This window comes from Homo sapiens, chromosome 15 (assembly GCF_000001405.40).
Source record: "Homo sapiens chromosome 15, GRCh38.p14 Primary Assembly".
In the NCBI taxonomy this organism is placed as follows: Eukaryota; Metazoa; Chordata; class Mammalia; order Primates; family Hominidae; genus Homo; species Homo sapiens.
Genome location: NC_000015.10, coordinates 68,355,999 through 68,373,462, shown reverse-complemented (window position 1 = coordinate 68,373,462; position 17,464 = coordinate 68,355,999). Strand labels below are relative to the sequence as shown.

Here is a 17,464-nt window from a genome sequence, read left to right as displayed (position 1 = left end):
GGAAAGTACTCGATTTCTCAACAACCCTCTTTCCAAGGATTGAATTCAGGGGCTTCTCTTAGGCCTGAGGCAAAGCCAAAAGCCCCCACAGTTGCTCCTGCTGCAGACTGTCACACAGAAGGTTAGGTTGGTCACTGGGCACCTCTTTGCCGAGTGCCTTCAGGACCACCCTACTCTGGTGCAGTAGGGCAGTCCAGGACATCTTAGACCTCAAGGAATCATGACACTACAACATTGGCCACACCAGGCAGCAGGGATTACAAGCCAGTTTATGTGAGAAAGGCCAGGGTAATCACCGACGGCTTCCTGGAGCAGGTGGGAATTTATGCTGGATTTTAAAGGGATGATCTCCAGGGTGGGGTACACACACCACAGGGACTATGCTGGACTGTATACTGCAGTACAGAAATAAAATAAATGTGAGTTCTATTTAGGTTTATATTTTATCTGAAAAAAATAGAATTACTAACATTTAATATACAGTTTATTAAAATTGGACAGTTTATGCTGGTATAATTTACATATACACTTACACATAATTAGGGGTACATATCATCTTTTTTCTTACAGGAGATTGAATTTTAAAAGTTTAGAGACCAAAACTGCCTGGAAGAATGGAGCTGAGGATAAGCAGAATTCAGGATGAGTCCCCAAAGAGCCTTGTTGGAGAGGGTGTGAGGTAGAGTCAGGTGGGAGGGCACTGGAGCCAGGGGCCCTTTGTCTTAGTCTGGGTCCTGCAGGGAGCCAAGGAGCCCAGCAGAGGGCTTCCAGAGTGCCATGTCCGGCCTTCCAGAGTGCAGTCTCCACAGGGACCATCCTCTCTTGGCAAGGCCCTTCTTAGAGGTTGGTCAACAGGGAAAGGGTCCTACAGGGCTGTGGCTGGAATGTCTGTTGCCCATTTTCCCATCCACCGAAGCCCTGCTCCCTGCGCCTCCGCAGGAAGAATGCTGGGAGCCCGCAGCCAGTGACTCACAGCACACAGCCAATGGAAAGGGCCGGATGCTCGCCACGACCTTTGGGGTTTGCTGTGCCGTCTGGTGCCCACGCCAGGAGGTATAGGGTATCAAGCCCCCGAGAGGCGTAGCAGGCCCTGAGGCTGCAGAAGGCTGTATAAGCCTGAGGCTGCAGGGGGTGGCAGGGGCTGCCAGACCCCAGGCAATTTGGCTGGTCTCAGTGGTGACGTGAACATTTTCCCTGCGCTTCGGCAGTTATCCTCTCAAACTGGGACTGAATCATGTCCTCCAAACCTCAAGCCCAACAGGCACACGTAATGCCCAGACTCAAGAATGGAGAGAAGGGCTGACCCAGGCCCTCTCTTCATGGCAAAGAAACATTTGGGGCAATGCAGAGGAAGCTGTCCCAGGAGAACTCCAGTCCCAGCCCCGCAGCAAACCAACTGTGGGGCTGGGTCAGCTCCCCTCTTGGGGCCTCAGTTTCTGCAGCTATATTATGGCGACAGTAAGCCCTGCCCTCCTACCTCATGAAGTACTATGGACTCCCAGAGAAATGAGGTCTGGGAGAGTGGAGATGGGACCCAGGGAGTGGCCCTTGTTCTTTGAAAAGGACAAAACCGGTCTCATTGCAAATTTGAGGTCACAGTGACTTAGTGAATTTACTACCAGATTGTCCCATCTCAGCCACTGCCAGGACACGTGACTTTTCGGAAGCCACCAGTCTTTGCGCATAGCTTGCCTAGATATGGCCCCTTCTGTTTCTCGGTGCCTTTCTTTCTTTTTCTTTTCCCCGAGATAGAGTCTCGCTCTGTCACCCAGGCCGGAGTACAGTGGCATGATCTCGGCTCACTGCAACCTCCTCCTCCCAGATTCAAGTAATTCTCCTGCCTCAGCCTCCCAAGTAACTGGGATTACAGATGCCCACCACCACGCCCAGCTACTTTTTTTTGTATTTTTTAGTACAGACGGGGGTTTCACCATGTTGGCCAGGCTGGTCTTGAACTCCTGACTTCAGGTGATCCACCTACCTCAGCCTCCCAAAGTACTGGGATTACAGGCATGAGCCACTGCACCCAGCTGGCCGTGGCTTTTCTAATCTAGAACATGCTGCGCCTGATTCTCCCAGAGGCACCCTGAGAGGTGCTCCTCCATCTGGCAACAGTGCCCGGGAGGAACGTGTCCCTCAGGAAGACTTGGTCACGTGTCAGGTTAACCTTGAAAACTGGAGCAGCCCCAGAGAAGTAAGCTTAGAGCCCAGGGTTCTCTTACTGACCTTTTTCTTTCTTTCTCTCACTTTCTCTCTCTCTCTCAAGAATGGAGCAGCCTTGACCACACAATCACTTGCAGAATTAAGTAGCCAAAAATCACCTCGTCTAGACAAACAGATGTTATGGGTCCAATTAATTTCTGCCGGTCAAAAATAGGCGGGCTTAATAAGGGGATATATATAGAATCTGCCATCATCTGGCTCCCCAGGGGAGAAACCTCAGCTCTTATTTCATAGACGCTTAATTTCAAACAGAGTTCTATAACTCCCACTTCAGACCTGGCTTTCCTTCCTGACAGCGCCAAGGTGGACCGGGGCAGGGAGAGCAATGGACCACAAGAAGCCACTTAAGTGCCATGCAGCCCGAGCCTCCCGGCCACCTCCTCCCAACCATCTAACTCCGCTGGCATGTGGTGGCTTCTTCTTTGGGCCATGTCACCAGGCAGTGGGAAGCTGCTGGAAGAGCAAGGTCTAAAGAGCTCCAGAAAGTCCAACCTGTCCCTGTGCCCCAGATCCCACCATCATCTGTTCTCCATCCCTCGGGATCGAAAGCCTTTCGGGGCTCTTGTGGGCTGTGGTGTCCCCTCCCACACACAGTACCGCTGTCCCTGGGAAGGGTTACCGTTCTTAGCCACTGTTAGTATGTGGCCTGAGCAGAGAGCCAGACCGGCACCCAAGGCCTAGAGGGCCCCAGGTGTGCCAGAGTCACGTGCCACAGACCCAGTGGGCAGGTCAGAATCCTGGGACACTCTGGGCCCCCGTGATGGGGCTGCTCTCTGGTGGGTGAGAGATGAGGCGTAGAGGGCCCTGGAGAGCACTAAGGACAGGACCTGGGGACCCTCCAGTCTGAGGTAGAACTCTCCCCAGCATCAGTGGGGGTGAGTCCACAGCCGCACCTCCAGGGTCGCAGGCTTTTCCTCCAGGGCACGGCCACCGGGGCTTGGCCGGGCCAGGAAGGAGTGGCTGCTCACTTTTCCCTAGGTACATGTAAGTAAGTAAGCCAGGTGTGTTAGTTCCTTACGGCCGCCATAACAGATGATCACAACCTGCGTGGCTTAAAACAACAGAAACGCATTCCCTCAGAGTCCTGAAGGACACGAGCCTGAAAGGAAGCAGCACCAGGTCCGCACTCCCTCCGCAGGCTCTGGGGGAGAATCCTTCCTTGGTTCTTCCAGCTTCTGGTGGTCCCGGGCGCTCCTTGGCTTGGGGCAGCATCTCCTAACTCTGCCTCTGTCTTCTCGTGTCTCTCTTCTCCCCATGTCTCTCCTCTGTGTTTCCTCTTCAGGACACTTGCCATTGAATTTAGGGTCCACCCAGATAATCCAGGATGATCTCAACCCAAGAACCTTAACTTAGTTACATCTGCAAAGACACTTTTTCCAAAGAAGGTTGCAAAGGCATTGGCTCAAGGCAGGAGCCCCAGCTGCATGGCAGCTTCCGCCCACTGGCTGCCTTGTCCACCCTGACCCACTCTGGGGCACCAGCTTTAAGGCTTCCCTGTAAGATGAAGAATGAGGGCCCTTTCAGGTAATGACAGATGGTCAAGACTCTGTGGCTCCAGAAACATCATTCCTTTGTCAGAATGACTTCCATTACCACTCTCTCGTCATTTGACAAACTCATATTCATCCCTTAAGACCCAGCTCAAACATCGCCCCCTCCTCTACCAGGGATTTGCCTCCATCCCATTTGTTGCAGAGCCCATGTGGTCTTCATCTCTGTACCTAGGCAAGGGCCTAGAATGGGCCACAGGTCCCATGACTTTATGCTGAAAGCCCAGCATCCCTCCCTCAGGGAGACAGTGGTCCCAGCCTGAGGGTCTGCATGTGGTCACACCTCCAGGGTTCCCTCCCACCCTCCCCACCCAACTTCACCTCCACACTGCCCACCAGGCTCCATCCTCTGCCAGGAAAGAGTACCTCCCCCAATGTCTTTGCTCATCTTCTCTTCCTTCCCAGGCTGGTCGTGGGCGCCCCACTGGAAACCAATGGCTACCAGAAGACGGGAGACGTGTACAAGTGTCCAGTGATCCACGGGAACTGCACCAAACTCAACCTGGGTAACGTGGGCTGGTGGTCTCTTCACAATGAGGCCAGCGGTTGTCTAACACAAGGCAGGCTCTGATGCACGCCCATGTCCATGGTCACACTGACTCCTTCCTGCTACTCCATGAGATGACCCAGCTGATATCACTGCCCCCACTTTACACATGAGGAAGCTGAGGCCAGGGAGAGGAGGCAACTTTTCCACAGTCACACAGCTTGCCAGGGGCTCACCAGGAATCAACCCAGGCCCTAGCTGTCCCAGGCCATTCCTCTTTCTGACTCAGCCACTGCCCTTCAACTCAAAGTTTTCTCTCCCAGGAGAAAAAAAAAAAAAAAAGGACTTCCTGTCTTTTTCCTGATTTTGAAATAATAACAACAATAGCTAACATTCAGATATCTTCGATAATGTTCACCATGTGTGAGGCACATTTGGACTCATTTAATCCTCACAACACCCATATGGGATTTAACCATTTAACAGATAGGAAATGACAGCATACAGAGGTGAGGGGACCTGCCCGGGGTCACTCAGCTCACAAGGAGCAGGGCTTGGCGTCCAGTTCATGCAGGCTATGGCCTCCCTTTAACCACCATGCAGCACTGCCCTTCGGAAATGCAAGCTTTTCCTCGCCAAAGAGCTTTCAGGCATATTCTGGAACAGGGAGATGCTGTGAACAGCCCCCAGCCTCCGAAGCCCTCCTAAAATCTACTCGTGTGTGTTTGCATGCATGTGTGTATCTGCTTATGTGTGTGCAAATGTGTATCCACTAAGCACACACACCAGTCCACTAAAGTGCTCCCACTTGTCCTAAAGGTCAGACAGCAGCTGGGTCATTGCTTGCTCTGCTCTCAGAAGGGAGAAAAAGTTCCATTTTGGCTGACAAGCTGCAATTCTAGGCTTTGCCCTGGAGGACTGGACTTCCCTAGGGCCAGGACCCTGGGCCTCCCTCCTTCGAGGAGCGGGGTCTCCACCCCAGAGCAGTGGGGTGGGTCTCCCTGGGAGATGGGGGATGGGAAGGGCAGCAGGGTCTCACTGGGCGGGAATGGCAGAGGTTCAAGAGATAAGCTGATGGATGAAAAGGTCAGCATCCAAAAGAAAGCCCAAAGAACTCCCCAGGGCAGCCAGCTGTCTGTCACATGGTCCCGGAGGCTCCCGCTGTCCACATCTGCATCAGCACCATGGGTGGGAAGTTCAAAACCCAGCATAGCCGGGGCCCAAACTTCAGTGAGGAAATCGTCTAAGGGAAGAGGGTGCCTGGTTGGTGGCATATGGTTCCAGGTCATCAGCACCCTGAGAACACAGGCTTCTGAAACTGGCCAACCTGGAGTCCCCTTCCAGCTGTACAAATTCTTTGCTGTGTGTCCATGCGGAGTTCACATCCTCTCTCTGAGCCTCAGTTTACTCGTGTGTAAAGCAAGGAGGCTGGACTCGACAACCCTTAGGATCCATTCCAGGTCTAATCTGTTTCCGAACCTTTAATGCGCACCTAGAGTGTACCAAACACTGTACTATTTATTGGGGATATGGTGGGGAACAAGAGGCCAAGGAAGGGGACAGTAATCGGGTAGGCAAATTAAGAAGCAGGATAGTTTTAGGCAGGGATCAATGCTGTGCAATAAACCAGGTGCTGTAATAAGAGTGGCTAGGGGGTGATGGAAGTGGAGAGGGATTTCTACCATAGAAGGTGATCAGGGAAGGCTTCTCTGAGCAGGTAGTTTTTGAGAAGGTTACAGGTGGGGGCGGAGCACTCCAGACAAAGGAGGAGCAAGTGCAAACGCCCTAAGGTAGGAACAAGTCTGCCCTGTTGGAGAAGATAAAGAAAGGCCATGTGGTTGGGACAGAGGCAATGAGGTTGGGGTGTGGTGGAAGAGTGGGCAGTCTTCTCAGGGCTTCAGCCACCAAGAGAAGCTCCTGGTCCAGGCAGGGACGTGGATTCGTGAACCAATCTTTTTTTTTCTCTGTTGCAATGTGGACCCCATTTCTCTCCAGAGGGAGGAGGAGACATAAAGCCATGAGACCCTGGAAAGCATTTCTGAGCTGGGGCACAAGCCTAGGAGGCAGTGGGTAGCAAAGTGAGTTGGGATGGAGGAAAATTACTCTTCATTTGAGGTGTGGTTCTCTCTCTCCCACTGAGAAGAAAATGCATGGCAGAAAGAACATCTGTCAGTTTTGCCCCACAGTGGAAAATGCAAGGCTGGGAAACCTGAGTCCTGGGTTTTCCTACGGCCGTTCCAGGCACTGGGCAGCACGATGCCAGGAATGTTCTTTCCTTTTTCTCCAGGGAAGGCTAAGTGGGTGTCAGCCATTCACACCTCTGTGGGAAAGACTCTACCACTGGCACTGTCCTTCCAACACCTGGATAAAGTCAGGGTTTTCAATGAGGGGCAGGGGCTGGGGGAGGTGATGTGATTCTCAAAGCCAGGGCCTGTGTAGGGAGATATCTGGGCCCGGGACCCTCACCCAGACCTGCTGAGGAAGGCGTGAGTCTCTCCCGCTCACAGAGGGGTTGGGCAAAGACTTGAACCTGAGTCTGTCTAACTCCAACACAGGGATTTTTCCTCCCCTGCCCCTCTGTCTCAGCCAGCTGCACAGTTTCACTACAAACATCAGTCCCAGGGGAGAGGGAGGAAGGAGAGGGGCAGGGTGGTGAGGTCTGCGTTCCTTAAATAAACGGAGGGCAGAATTCTAGCCAGAAGGGGGCGAGGGTTACCCAGCCCAGTGGAGCATGGAGCCGCCCCTCTAGTTCCCACTGCCACCGTGATGCCATCAGATGGGAGAAAACACAGAACTCGGGATGAAACGTCACACGGTCTGGGCTAAAGATCTTGCTCTTTAATTTCCCAGCAGGTAACCTTGTGGCAGTCACTAACCCTCTCTACACCTCAATGTTCTCATCTGTAAAATGGAAATGATGACCCCTGGGTCTCCCAGGACCGTGAGGGGTCCTGAAAGGGCAGGTGTGCGCGGTGCTTTGTAGATGATAAGGCATCTCAGAAACACCGGGGCTTTACTGTTATTTTCTCTCCAGCTTGTTTGGGCAGACAAAAGAGAAATCGAGCCCAGTCATTCTTAGCACAGCCAAGAAGGGCAGATTTCAAAAGGAGCCTTGCTTCAAACTGAGGAAAACCAAAAAGGAAAAAACAACAAACACAGCTGCCCCTACCCTCCAGTCCACAAAACAGTCTGTGTCTGACAAGCTGGGCTCTGCCAGCGGCCCACCCCCAGACTCCTGCACCAGCTGGCCTTCCTGACCTGTGTGCCCTGGGAGCCAGGCCGACTCTTCACACTTCCAGTCACCGACACAGTGCAATGCAACCCATTCTTGCTCAAGGCCTCCTTAGAAATTATTCCTCCCATTGCTCGAACCTGGGAGTTGGAGATTGCAGTGAGCCACGATGGTGCCACTCCACTCTAGCCTGGGTGACACAGTGAGACCCTGCCTCAAAAAAAAGAAAAGAAAAGGGAGGGGAGGGAAGGGAAAATTAAAAAAAAAGAAAAGAGAAAAGAAAAGAAATTACTCCTTCCCCAGGCAGGGAAGCCACCCAGAGCTGTCCACACTGCATATTAGGGCTTGCACACTCTAGCTCCCCAGCCTCTCCCACTCCCTCTTCCTGTACACGTGCACACACACACACACACACACACACACCCCAACACACTTCTGGGGAATTCAGACTCACTTCCTTTCCTTCGGTGGCCTCCAGGATGATCTGGTAAAACCTTAAGCGATGCAATTTTTTTATGATTCTAATCTGCCGCAGAGCTGACCCTCTCCCTATTCCCAGCAGGCTGATAACCCAGCTCCTAAGCACCTCTCTTGGCAGCCTCCTTCAGAATGGCATTCCTGGGCAAGGCCTGGCAGCTCTGGAAGGCTCTCGTTGAGTTGGCTCTGTTACCCATGAGAGGAAACTCTCAGCTGTCACATGTTGATTGTTCAGATGAGCAGAGAAGTGGGCACAGAAAGAGTTGGGCACAGGACTGGTTAAGTGTGGATGGGGGTCAACTTGGAAGAAAGCGTAGCGGGGATACTGCACAAAGGAAGCCAGCCCAGGTGGGATGCCATGGCATGCTTGGGGGCACACGGGGAAGTGGGGCTCCAGTCGGATGGCTGGAGGAGGAAAAGCTGTGGGCTAGGAGATAGAAGGCTCGGTGAGTGCTCACTGTGTGACCTTGGGCAGGTTGTTTGGCCTCTCTGAGACTCGGTTTTCTCATCTCACAGGCAGTTGTGAGGATGTCCTGAGAGTACGTCTGGGGAAGGCCTTTGTAAACCCTGAGAGCCAGAGGTCCCCAGGGTCAGGGAGAATCGGGGAGGCACCTCGGGTGACCAGACCAGCAGCAGGCTCTGGGCAGAGGGCGGGCAGGAGGGGGCTGCAAGCTGAACTTCTCCCCCAACCCCAGGAAGGGTCACCCTGTCCAACGTGTCCGAGCGGAAAGACAACATGCGCCTCGGCCTTAGTCTCGCCACCAACCCCAAGGACAACAGCTTCCTGGTAAGAGCCACCTGCCACTGCTTGGGGTCAGGAGAGGCAGGGGTGGGGGTGGGGAGGGGTGGAGCGTCTCCTTACACACCCTCATGTCCATCCTGTACACCCACTCTCCCCCACTCCAACCACCAAGCTGCCTGGCCCTGTGCATTCCAGGAAGCAGCTCCCCCGCCAGCTCCCTGCTTATGCCATTCCGGGTGGCAGGGCCCTGGGTGTTTTGGCAGGGACAGTCCAGGCAGAAGAAACAATTGAGCCCTTTTGTGTGCATATCCCGAAGGAGGGAGGAACAGCCAGAAAGGGGACAAGAATAAATGTAGATAGCCAACAAGTCTGGTGGGGGACTGTCCCTTTCCTTGGGGAGCTAGTTGTCTGGGCTGGAGGTCAAATCTCTGCTCTAGGCTTGAAAAAAGAAGCAGGCTGCACCACACACCCAAAGAAGACTTGGAAGGGATGCCATAAATGAGTAAACACAGACTACCACAGCCGAGGGAAGGGCTACAGAGTGACAAGCCGTCTCAACTATCCAGGATTAGATGAAGAAGGCTGGAGGAGGTTTCTGTTTTGTTTTTAAAGAAGAGACAGGCCTTCGCAAGGAAGAAAAGGGCATGTCTGGGTTGAGGTGGTAGAAACATTCATTCATTTAAACAATGATGTTTCTGAGCACTTACCATAGTATGTGCTAAGCCCAGTGCTGGGCACCGGGATTCAGCAATGAATAGAGACCCTGTCCTGCTGGAGCTTACACTGTGGTGGAAAGAGAGGCGACAAGCAAACGAGTAATGTCTAATAGGACTTTGGGGGACAGACAGCAGCAGGCTCTGCTTACAGGTCTCTGTTCTGTGCCCAGGTGAGCACATATGGACTCTGCACATGGTAGTGAGTGTGGGCGGCACAATGGATTGGCACTGCCTGCTCCTTGCCACCACCTTGGAGTGAGCTGCGTTGAGTATGGGCGATGCTTGGGGTTCAAACAGGATCCTTCTGAGACTGATGGTTCCTAGAAACAGTTGCAGGAGAGGACTTCAGAGAAAATTTACCCCAGAAAGCCCAGTACAAATTACTGCCCATTTTTAGATGGGGTGCTTGTGTCAGTCTTTGTTCTGGTCTATTTCTGCTGACAAATGAGACATCTGGGGCATGAATCACAAGACAAATTAGATAAGACAAATAAGACATAAAGATAAGACGATGACTGGGATGCAAGGGGACTTGAGTGCATAGTGGCCCTGCCAGGGAAAGTCATGAGGTGCCTTGATGTATATTCAGCCCACAGCCCTTTATTAGCCATAACCAGAGGCAAAGCAGGACCCCTGGCCCTATCCACACACATATCCGTCAGGGGCTTTGTCTCTACTCCCTTTTCCCTCTCAGGCTCCTTATCACATTTCTTCTTCACAAGGTGGTATGAAGGTCTGAGAGGAATGGTGTGATATATTCTCTGGGGCCTCTGTGAGTAGGTTAATCCTTGGTTTATAGATAGTCACCTGTTCATTGATTCACTCATCTGTCCATTCCCCTCTCAACAATTCATTCCTCCATTCATCTATCCAACCACCCATGCATTCATCTACCCATCTGTCTATACATCGATCCACCATCAATCTCCCATGTAATCATCCATCTTTCCATTTATTCCTTCCTGCATCCATCCATCAACCTCCATCATCTATCATTCATCCACCCATCAATTCATCATCCATCCATCCATCAACCATCCATCATCCATCTGTCATTCATCCACTTATTCATCCATCATCCATTCATCCATCATCCATTCATCCATCATCCATCCACCCATTCATCCATCAACCATCTATCATCCATCCATTATCATTCATCCACCCATTCATACATGGATCATCTATCCATCCATCATCCATCCACTAATTCATCCATCATCTATCCAGCCATCATTCATTCACCCATTCATTCATCATCCATTCATCCATCATCTGTCCACTATCCATCATCCATCCATTATCCATTCATCTATCTGTCCATCCATTCACATCTATCCATCATCCTTCCATCCATCTTCCATCCATTTATCCATCCATCCATTCATCATCCATCTATACATCATTCATCCATCCATCTATACATCATTCATCCATCCATCTACCACCCACTTATCCATCCATCTATCATCTGTCTATCCATCCACTTATCCATCCATCCATCTATCCATTCTTTATTCCCCTCTGTCCCCTGCCACTTCCAAACATTATGTACAGCAGCTTCAACAAAGTACACAGATAAAACATAACCTTTAAGATCTGAGCTTAAAAAGAAAGTAATTAAAGAAAGGGATCGGAAGTAGAATAATTACTCCCCTAAACCAAAGGAAATTACAGCACAAAATTTAGCTCTGGGTTTCCTGATAGCAGGATAACAATGGAAGCATGGAGCTGAGCTTTCATTTTTAATGACAATGACTCTGAGAAGAACCCTTCACTCAGTCCTTCAATGGGGACTGACATCAGTGTTTTTGGTAGAACATTTCACAGAAAGAATACAGACATTCTTATCTTCCCCTGCCCCAGTATGAGCCATGGCATGTTTTTGGGACCCAGTCCTAGAAGTTTGCCCAGTAAGGCCCTTCAGGCGACCTCTCAGACAGAGGAGTTATTCTAGTGACCCTTGAAGTGTTCACACCCGTGGGTGAAAAGGCTTCCCCAGATCCCGTATGGTGGGTGGGTGAGTGGGGTGGGCAGGTAGGGTGAAGAAGTATCATATTCCTAAATGATGAGATGGAGAACAGGGCCTTGAAAAAACAATGAAAGAGACTCCAAGATCAGTTTTTCTCCATTAGACCTGAAACCAAAGGAACTAGTACACATTGCAGCAAGAGAGAGTTCAGTTAGACCCAAAGAAGATCCCTCACCCCCTCACCCCTCAGATAGAAGTCTGTCTTGGGTCGTGGAGGATGGGAGTGGGCCTCAGGCCATTGGACCTCGATCCTCTCTGAGGTCCCCTCACTGACTGGGGATCTGCACTGCCCTCCCCAGGCCTGCAGCCCCCTCTGGTCTCATGAGTGTGGGAGCTCCTACTACACCACAGGGATGTGTTCAAGAGTCAACTCCAACTTCAGGTTCTCCAAGACCGTGGCCCCAGCTCTCCAAAGTAAGTGGCTTCAAATCTGCAACCTCAAGCTGAGCAGTGGACAGTCCAGAGAGACTTGGGCCCTGAGCACAACAACCTGTGGCTAGAAAGCAGTATTTGGACTCTAGCACTGTCCTGCCCCAGCTCTCCGGATGACCTGGAATGTATCACTCCACTCTCTGGGCCTCTGTGGGAGTCATAATCCTGGCCTCCCTCTCCCAAGTGTGATGGTGGAGAGCAAATGAGCTAAGGTTTCAAAGACAATCCCAGCCTCAAGGGAGGCTCACTGCAGAAACCCTGGGTATATAGGAGGTTACCTGGCAAGCACATGCAGCAGACAAGCTGTGCACTGCACAATTCTGGGGGAATTGTTCACTTAGACATATGAATGGCGCCCCCTGATGTTGTGCAATGCAGTAGCCTTGTAGATGAAGGAACAGGGAGAACAGAAATCTCCTTGGTAGTAGTTCCACCAAATCAGTGCTCCTGGACAGCAGGGAGTTCTGTCCAGCTCGTCCAGAGCCTCATGGAACGTAAAACCTCTTGCTCATTGCCCACCTGCGAAGAAAACCTGGGGAATTACTGCTCAGACCCTGCCTCCCACAAGCCCAGACTTCTTGGCTCTGAGCCTCACTATTTCCTCTGCACTAAATACCATCACCCAAGCAGCTGCTGCCCGTTTTATGGAGGGTTCGGGAATTGGCACCTCTGGCTTGCCTGCAGCCGCCCTCCAGACAACAAGGCCGAGTCAGATGGGGCTGGGGAAGGGAGGAGGAGGAAGCATCAGTCCAGCAGGGGCAGAAAGGTCGTCTTTCTGGGGGATAATGAGACATGGATTCTATTCACACAAAATGACAGAGGAAATGGCAGAGCCAGGGCACAGGAGGAGGCCTGAGGTCAGGGTACGTGAGGGGCCCACCGGGGAATGTCACCACCCCTAGAGCTAGTCCCTCCAGGCCTAGATGTGACCATCCTATGGTCCCTGAACCTCATGTGGTGGAGGCCTCCTCACCTGGCTGACCAGCAGCATTGCTCTGAAGCTTACCAAATGCAGATTCCAGGGCACCCCATGTGGGTCCTAATTCAGTAGGAGTATGTGCAAGTGTGTGTGTGTGCATGCGTGCGTGTGAGTGTGTGTGTTTTTAAGCTCCCCAAGGGAGTGTTCAGCCATGTTTAGGAACCGTAGCCCTCAAACCAGTTTGTTCCCAAGGTATCTTAGAAAGAAAAATGTGAAATTGTAAGAAAGAAATCAACAATAATAAATGCATTATAATAATAAAGCTGGCTTAAAAATAAAAATAAAAATAACCTGTTAAAAGATTATGAACTCCTCCAAATCAAGGAATTTCTGTCTTGGTCACCCCCACTGCTGCCTGCACCATGCAGAGCTCCAGCACATAGCAGGTGCTCAGTCCACATGTGTGGAGCCGAACTAAACCAGAAAAGGACAAATGTATGAGGCTCTGCCAGGCCAGGAGTGTCAGGTCATCACATGCTGTACACAGTATGCAGGTGGGACAAGAAGTGGCGGAGCACTCAAGTTGCCCAAATGCTTCTAAAATGCTCTACTAAACACAAAGCCTGCAACAGGCGTCCCAACTCAAAGCCACCCCCACCTTCCTCTGTCTGCTCAGCACTGACTTCAACATAGTGCCTCTTCGAAATGCAAGAATTACTGGAACAGTTAACACACAAAAGGTTCATGCAGCATTGTTATAAAGTAGATTTTATAACAGCATAAAAAGTCACCAATAAAAATGAGCAATGCCCAGACGCAGAGTGTATGCATTATTTCAAAGTAACTCCAACTGTTGACAAACAGAAATAAATTACTTAGATTTTAAAAGAGGAGGGTTTTTTTAATATTTGTTATGGCCAATATTTTCTTAATTTTCTTTGTTGATTTTCATTATTCCTTTTAATTTAGTTTTTTTTTTATTTGTTTGTTTTGTTTTGTTTGTTTTTGAGGCAGAGTCTCACTCTGTCACCCAGGCTGGAGTGTAGTGGCCCGATCTTGGCTCACTGCAACCTCTGCCTCCTGGGTTCAAGCAATTCTCATGCTTCAGCCTCCCGAGTAGCTGGGATTACAGGTGTGCATCACGACTCCTGGCTAATTTTTGTATTTTTAGTAGAGACGGGGTTTCGCCATGTTGGCAAGGCTGGTCTCGAACTCCTGATCTCAGGTGATCTACCCACTTCGGACTCCCAAAGTGCTGGGATTATGGGTGTGAGCCATGACTCCCAGCCTAATTTAGTATTAATATTACAAAAGCATAAAGAAACCTTTATATTCAGAGGCAGAGATAATGGCACGAGAGCTTGACCTGATGATATCAGTACCATATTAACTCAGTGGTTTCCTTAAAAAATAAATAAATAAATAAAAAGTGAAACCATGATCAGTTCAGATTTATTGAGCATTTGCTTTGTGCTCAGCCCTTTAGAAGCATCTTCTCATTAATTACTCTAGGCAACTCTTTACTATTGTTGTGCCTCTTTTACAGAAGAGAAAACTGAGGCTGAGAGGTTTTGTGACTGACCCTAGGTCACATAGCTAGGGAGTGCCAAAGCCAGGAGTCAGTGTGATGCCACATCCCACATTTCTAGCCACGACATCATATCTCCCTCCTAAAAACAGAAATCCATTCATTTGGGCTGAAAGTGGTAAATGCCAGCCTGCTCATTACAGCAAAACAAACAATACCAAGGTACTGATTTGAGCAGTGCTGGCTGCCTCGGAAGCGTTGGCCGATTGGTAGTGGTCAGTCTCTGATTAGGAATAGAAGTGATCAGGCTTAATTTAAGCTTTGTTCAAACAGCCAGCAGAGTGGTAGAACACAGCCAGGAATTCCTGGGCTCACTCACATTGCCCAAATAAATGTCCAACCCAAGGACAGTTTCCCAGCCCAGGGAATTACACATATGGAGCAGAGTCATTCATTTGTCCTTTGAACAATTGTCCAGAGAATCAGAGACTCGCAGACACTGCTCCTTGGGTAGCCATAACTGTGTCCCCACTTTCCAGGGTGCCAGACCTACATGGACATCGTCATTGTCCTGGATGGCTCCAACAGCATCTACCCCTGGGTGGAGGTTCAGCACTTCCTCATCAACATCCTGAAAAAGTTTTACATTGGCCCAGGGCAGATCCAGGTGAGCATCTCTTGGGCTCTTTCCACTTCTGAACAGGGCCACCCAAACCCATGGCAGGTGCTGCCTTAGGTCTAAGAGAGATCTTTGCATGCACGAAGGAGGTGTAGGTAAGAGGGCAGAGGTAGTAGGGCCAGCCAGCACTGGGGCACTGCAGCTCAGGACACTCCTCTCTGGTGTAGCACATCAAATGACATTTTGGGGGAAGCCTCACTTCACGGGTCAGACACAAGACACCACCTGTGAAGACTTAGACAAGCTAAAAAGTGACAAGGAAGGTGGGAATGGTTGAGTGGAATCTAGAGCCCTGTCGAGTGGGGCACAGGGGAGAATTAGACATACAGGTCATGGAGGGAAGATGGTAGGAGAGGTAAGGGCTGCTAGGCTCATATATCTGAAACGCTGCCTGGCTAACGCGGAGGTAGATTCATTCCCTTTTATTCTGCCTGAGTGAGGACTAATGACTAGAAGTTATTAGATGGCAGATTTCAAGTCAATCTAAGAAATTATTTGTAACGATTAGGGCTGTTAAAAAGGGAGTGGACTTTCTCATGAAGTAATGAGTTCCCCATCACCAGAAGATCATCTTTTAGGGTATCATGGGTGAAAGTCCAGCATTAGAAGGGCACGTGTGCCAAATAAACCCTGTGGGCTCCTCCAACAGGAACGTTTCATGGTTCTATTCCTACTATAGGTCTTGAAGCTTTTTGTTTATTTTGATGCTATTAATATTGTCATTATTTTATCATCCATGGGGATAAAAGAACCTCTTACAAGTTTTAAGGAACCTCAGTTTTGGAGTTTGGTAAACACTGTGACCTTCCACCCACACTATTCATAATTTTTTGGACTTAGACTGATTCTCTGCTCTGCTTTTGTTTTCCTAAGAAAGAAGCATAATTGTTGGGCCTTTCTTTCAATCACGAAGTCTCCATTCTCTATATGCACCCCTTCTTGTGCCACCAAGCTGTCCATTCATTCCTAGAACTTTGCAGAACTCACTTCCCTTTGGCTGTGGTTACTTTCTTGGAAAGGTCCTCAGCCCTCCTCCCTCCTGTATTATCACACAGAGACAACTCCCGGGGATCCTCACTCTCAAATTCTAAGGTTCATGGGTTCATGGGGTCAAAATGTTCTGTTGCCCTCTCCTCTCCCTTGCAGGTTGGAGTTGTGCAGTATGGCGAAGATGTGGTGCATGAGTTTCACCTCAACGACTACAGGTCTGTAAAAGATGTGGTGGAAGCTGCCAGCCACATTGAGCAGAGAGGAGGAACAGAGACCCGGACGGCATTTGGCATTGAATTTGCACGGTAAAAAAAAAGTAGAACAAAAAAAATTTTTTTAGATCTCAGATGCTATTGTAGTTATCTATTGCCTTGTAACACACTACCACAAAATTTAGTACCTTGAGACAATAATTTCTTAATTCCTCAAAATTCTGGAGTTTGACTGGGCTCAGCTGGTCGGTTTTCTCTTGGGTCCTCTCAGGTAGTTGCAGTCTGGTGTCACCTTGGGCTGTTGTCATCTGAAGGTTCTCACGTGGCTGTCAGTTGTTGTTGGCTGTTGGCTGAGAGCTCAGGTGGGACTGGTGACCTGAGCACCCACACGTAGCCATGTGGCTTGATTTCCTTGTGGCATGGCAACAGGAGTTTTAGAGACAGCGTCCCAAGAGTGAGCATCCCAAGAGGCCCAGGCAGGACCTGGGAGACTGCCTATAACCTAGTCTCGAAGTCCCAGAATATGACTTCTGCCACATTCTATTGGTTGGGCAAGTGACTGAGCCCAGGCCAGATTCAAGGGGAAGGGAATTTGGTTCTGCCCTTGATGGATGAACAGCGAGGTCATTTTGCAGAAGAGCATTTAGAATGGGGAATATTGTTGCAGCCAACTTTGAAAAATAGCTTCTGCCACAGACACTCTATAAGAAGTAGGTTCTGTGAGGATGGGGTCTTCTTATGGAGTGTTAGTCATCAATGGAGTGGAAAGAATGCAGTCAAATCTGACACCTGAGACTGTATAGTAGTGAGGCTGATTCCTTAAAAATCACACCAGAACTCGGCCAGGAGTGGTGGCTCTCACCTGTAATCCTAGCACTTTGGGAGGCCAAGGTGGGCAGATTGCCTGAGCTCAGGAGTTCGAGACCAGCCTGGGCAACACGGTGAAACCCCGTCTCTACTAAAATACAAAAAAAAAACAAATTAGCCGGGCATGGCGGCATGCGCTTGTAGTCCCAGCTACTTGGGAGGCTGAGGCAGGAGAATTGCTTGAATCCAGGATGCAGAGGTTGCAATGAGCCAAGATGGTGCCACTGCACTCCAGCCTGGTGAACAGAGCAAGACTCCGTCTCAAAAAAATAAAATAAAATAAAATCACACCAGAACTCACTCATCCAGATAAATGTTATCCCTAGATGTTGTCTATGCAGAAGGCTACATGCTTATTCCAGTAATGTTGTTGCTCAA

At 50.0% G+C, this 17,464-nt stretch overlaps 1 protein-coding gene across 3 annotated transcripts in view, besides 2 other annotated features; it reads left to right on the top strand.

Moving 5' to 3' along the window:
- The window catches only part of ITGA11 (integrin subunit alpha 11), a 135,632-nt gene that overhangs the window by 58,701 nt on the left and 59,467 nt on the right, over positions 1-17,464 (top strand). Inside the window, exons 3-7 of one of the 3 annotated variants that reach the window (NM_001004439.2) lie at positions 4,179-4,279; positions 8,665-8,756; positions 11,759-11,873; positions 14,878-15,005; positions 16,164-16,312. In NM_001004439.2, the coding sequence (NP_001004439.1) occupies positions 4,179-4,279; positions 8,665-8,756; positions 11,759-11,873; positions 14,878-15,005; positions 16,164-16,312 (585 nt within the window). The other 2 variants (XM_005254228.4, XM_011521363.3) reach the window with 2 other exon arrangements.
- Positions 3,027-3,528: an enhancer, noted in NCBI's record as "H3K4me1 hESC enhancer chr15:68662273-68662774 (GRCh37/hg19 assembly coordinates)". NCBI's record gives its function as "activates a minimal SCP1, AML or CMV promoter by ChIP-STARR-seq in primed H9 embryonic stem cells {active_cell/tissue: H9 hESC(primed)}" and the evidence as "EXISTENCE:reporter gene assay evidence [ECO:0000049][PMID:30033119]".
- Positions 7,475-8,674: an enhancer, noted in NCBI's record as "CDK7 strongly-dependent group 2 enhancer chr15:68657127-68658326 (GRCh37/hg19 assembly coordinates)". NCBI's record gives its function as "activates an origin of replication core promoter dependent on BRD2, BRD4, P300/CBP, MED14 and CDK7 cofactors, with strong dependence on CDK7, by STARR-seq in HCT116 cells {active_cell/tissue: HCT116}" and the evidence as "EXISTENCE:reporter gene assay evidence [ECO:0000049][PMID:35650434]".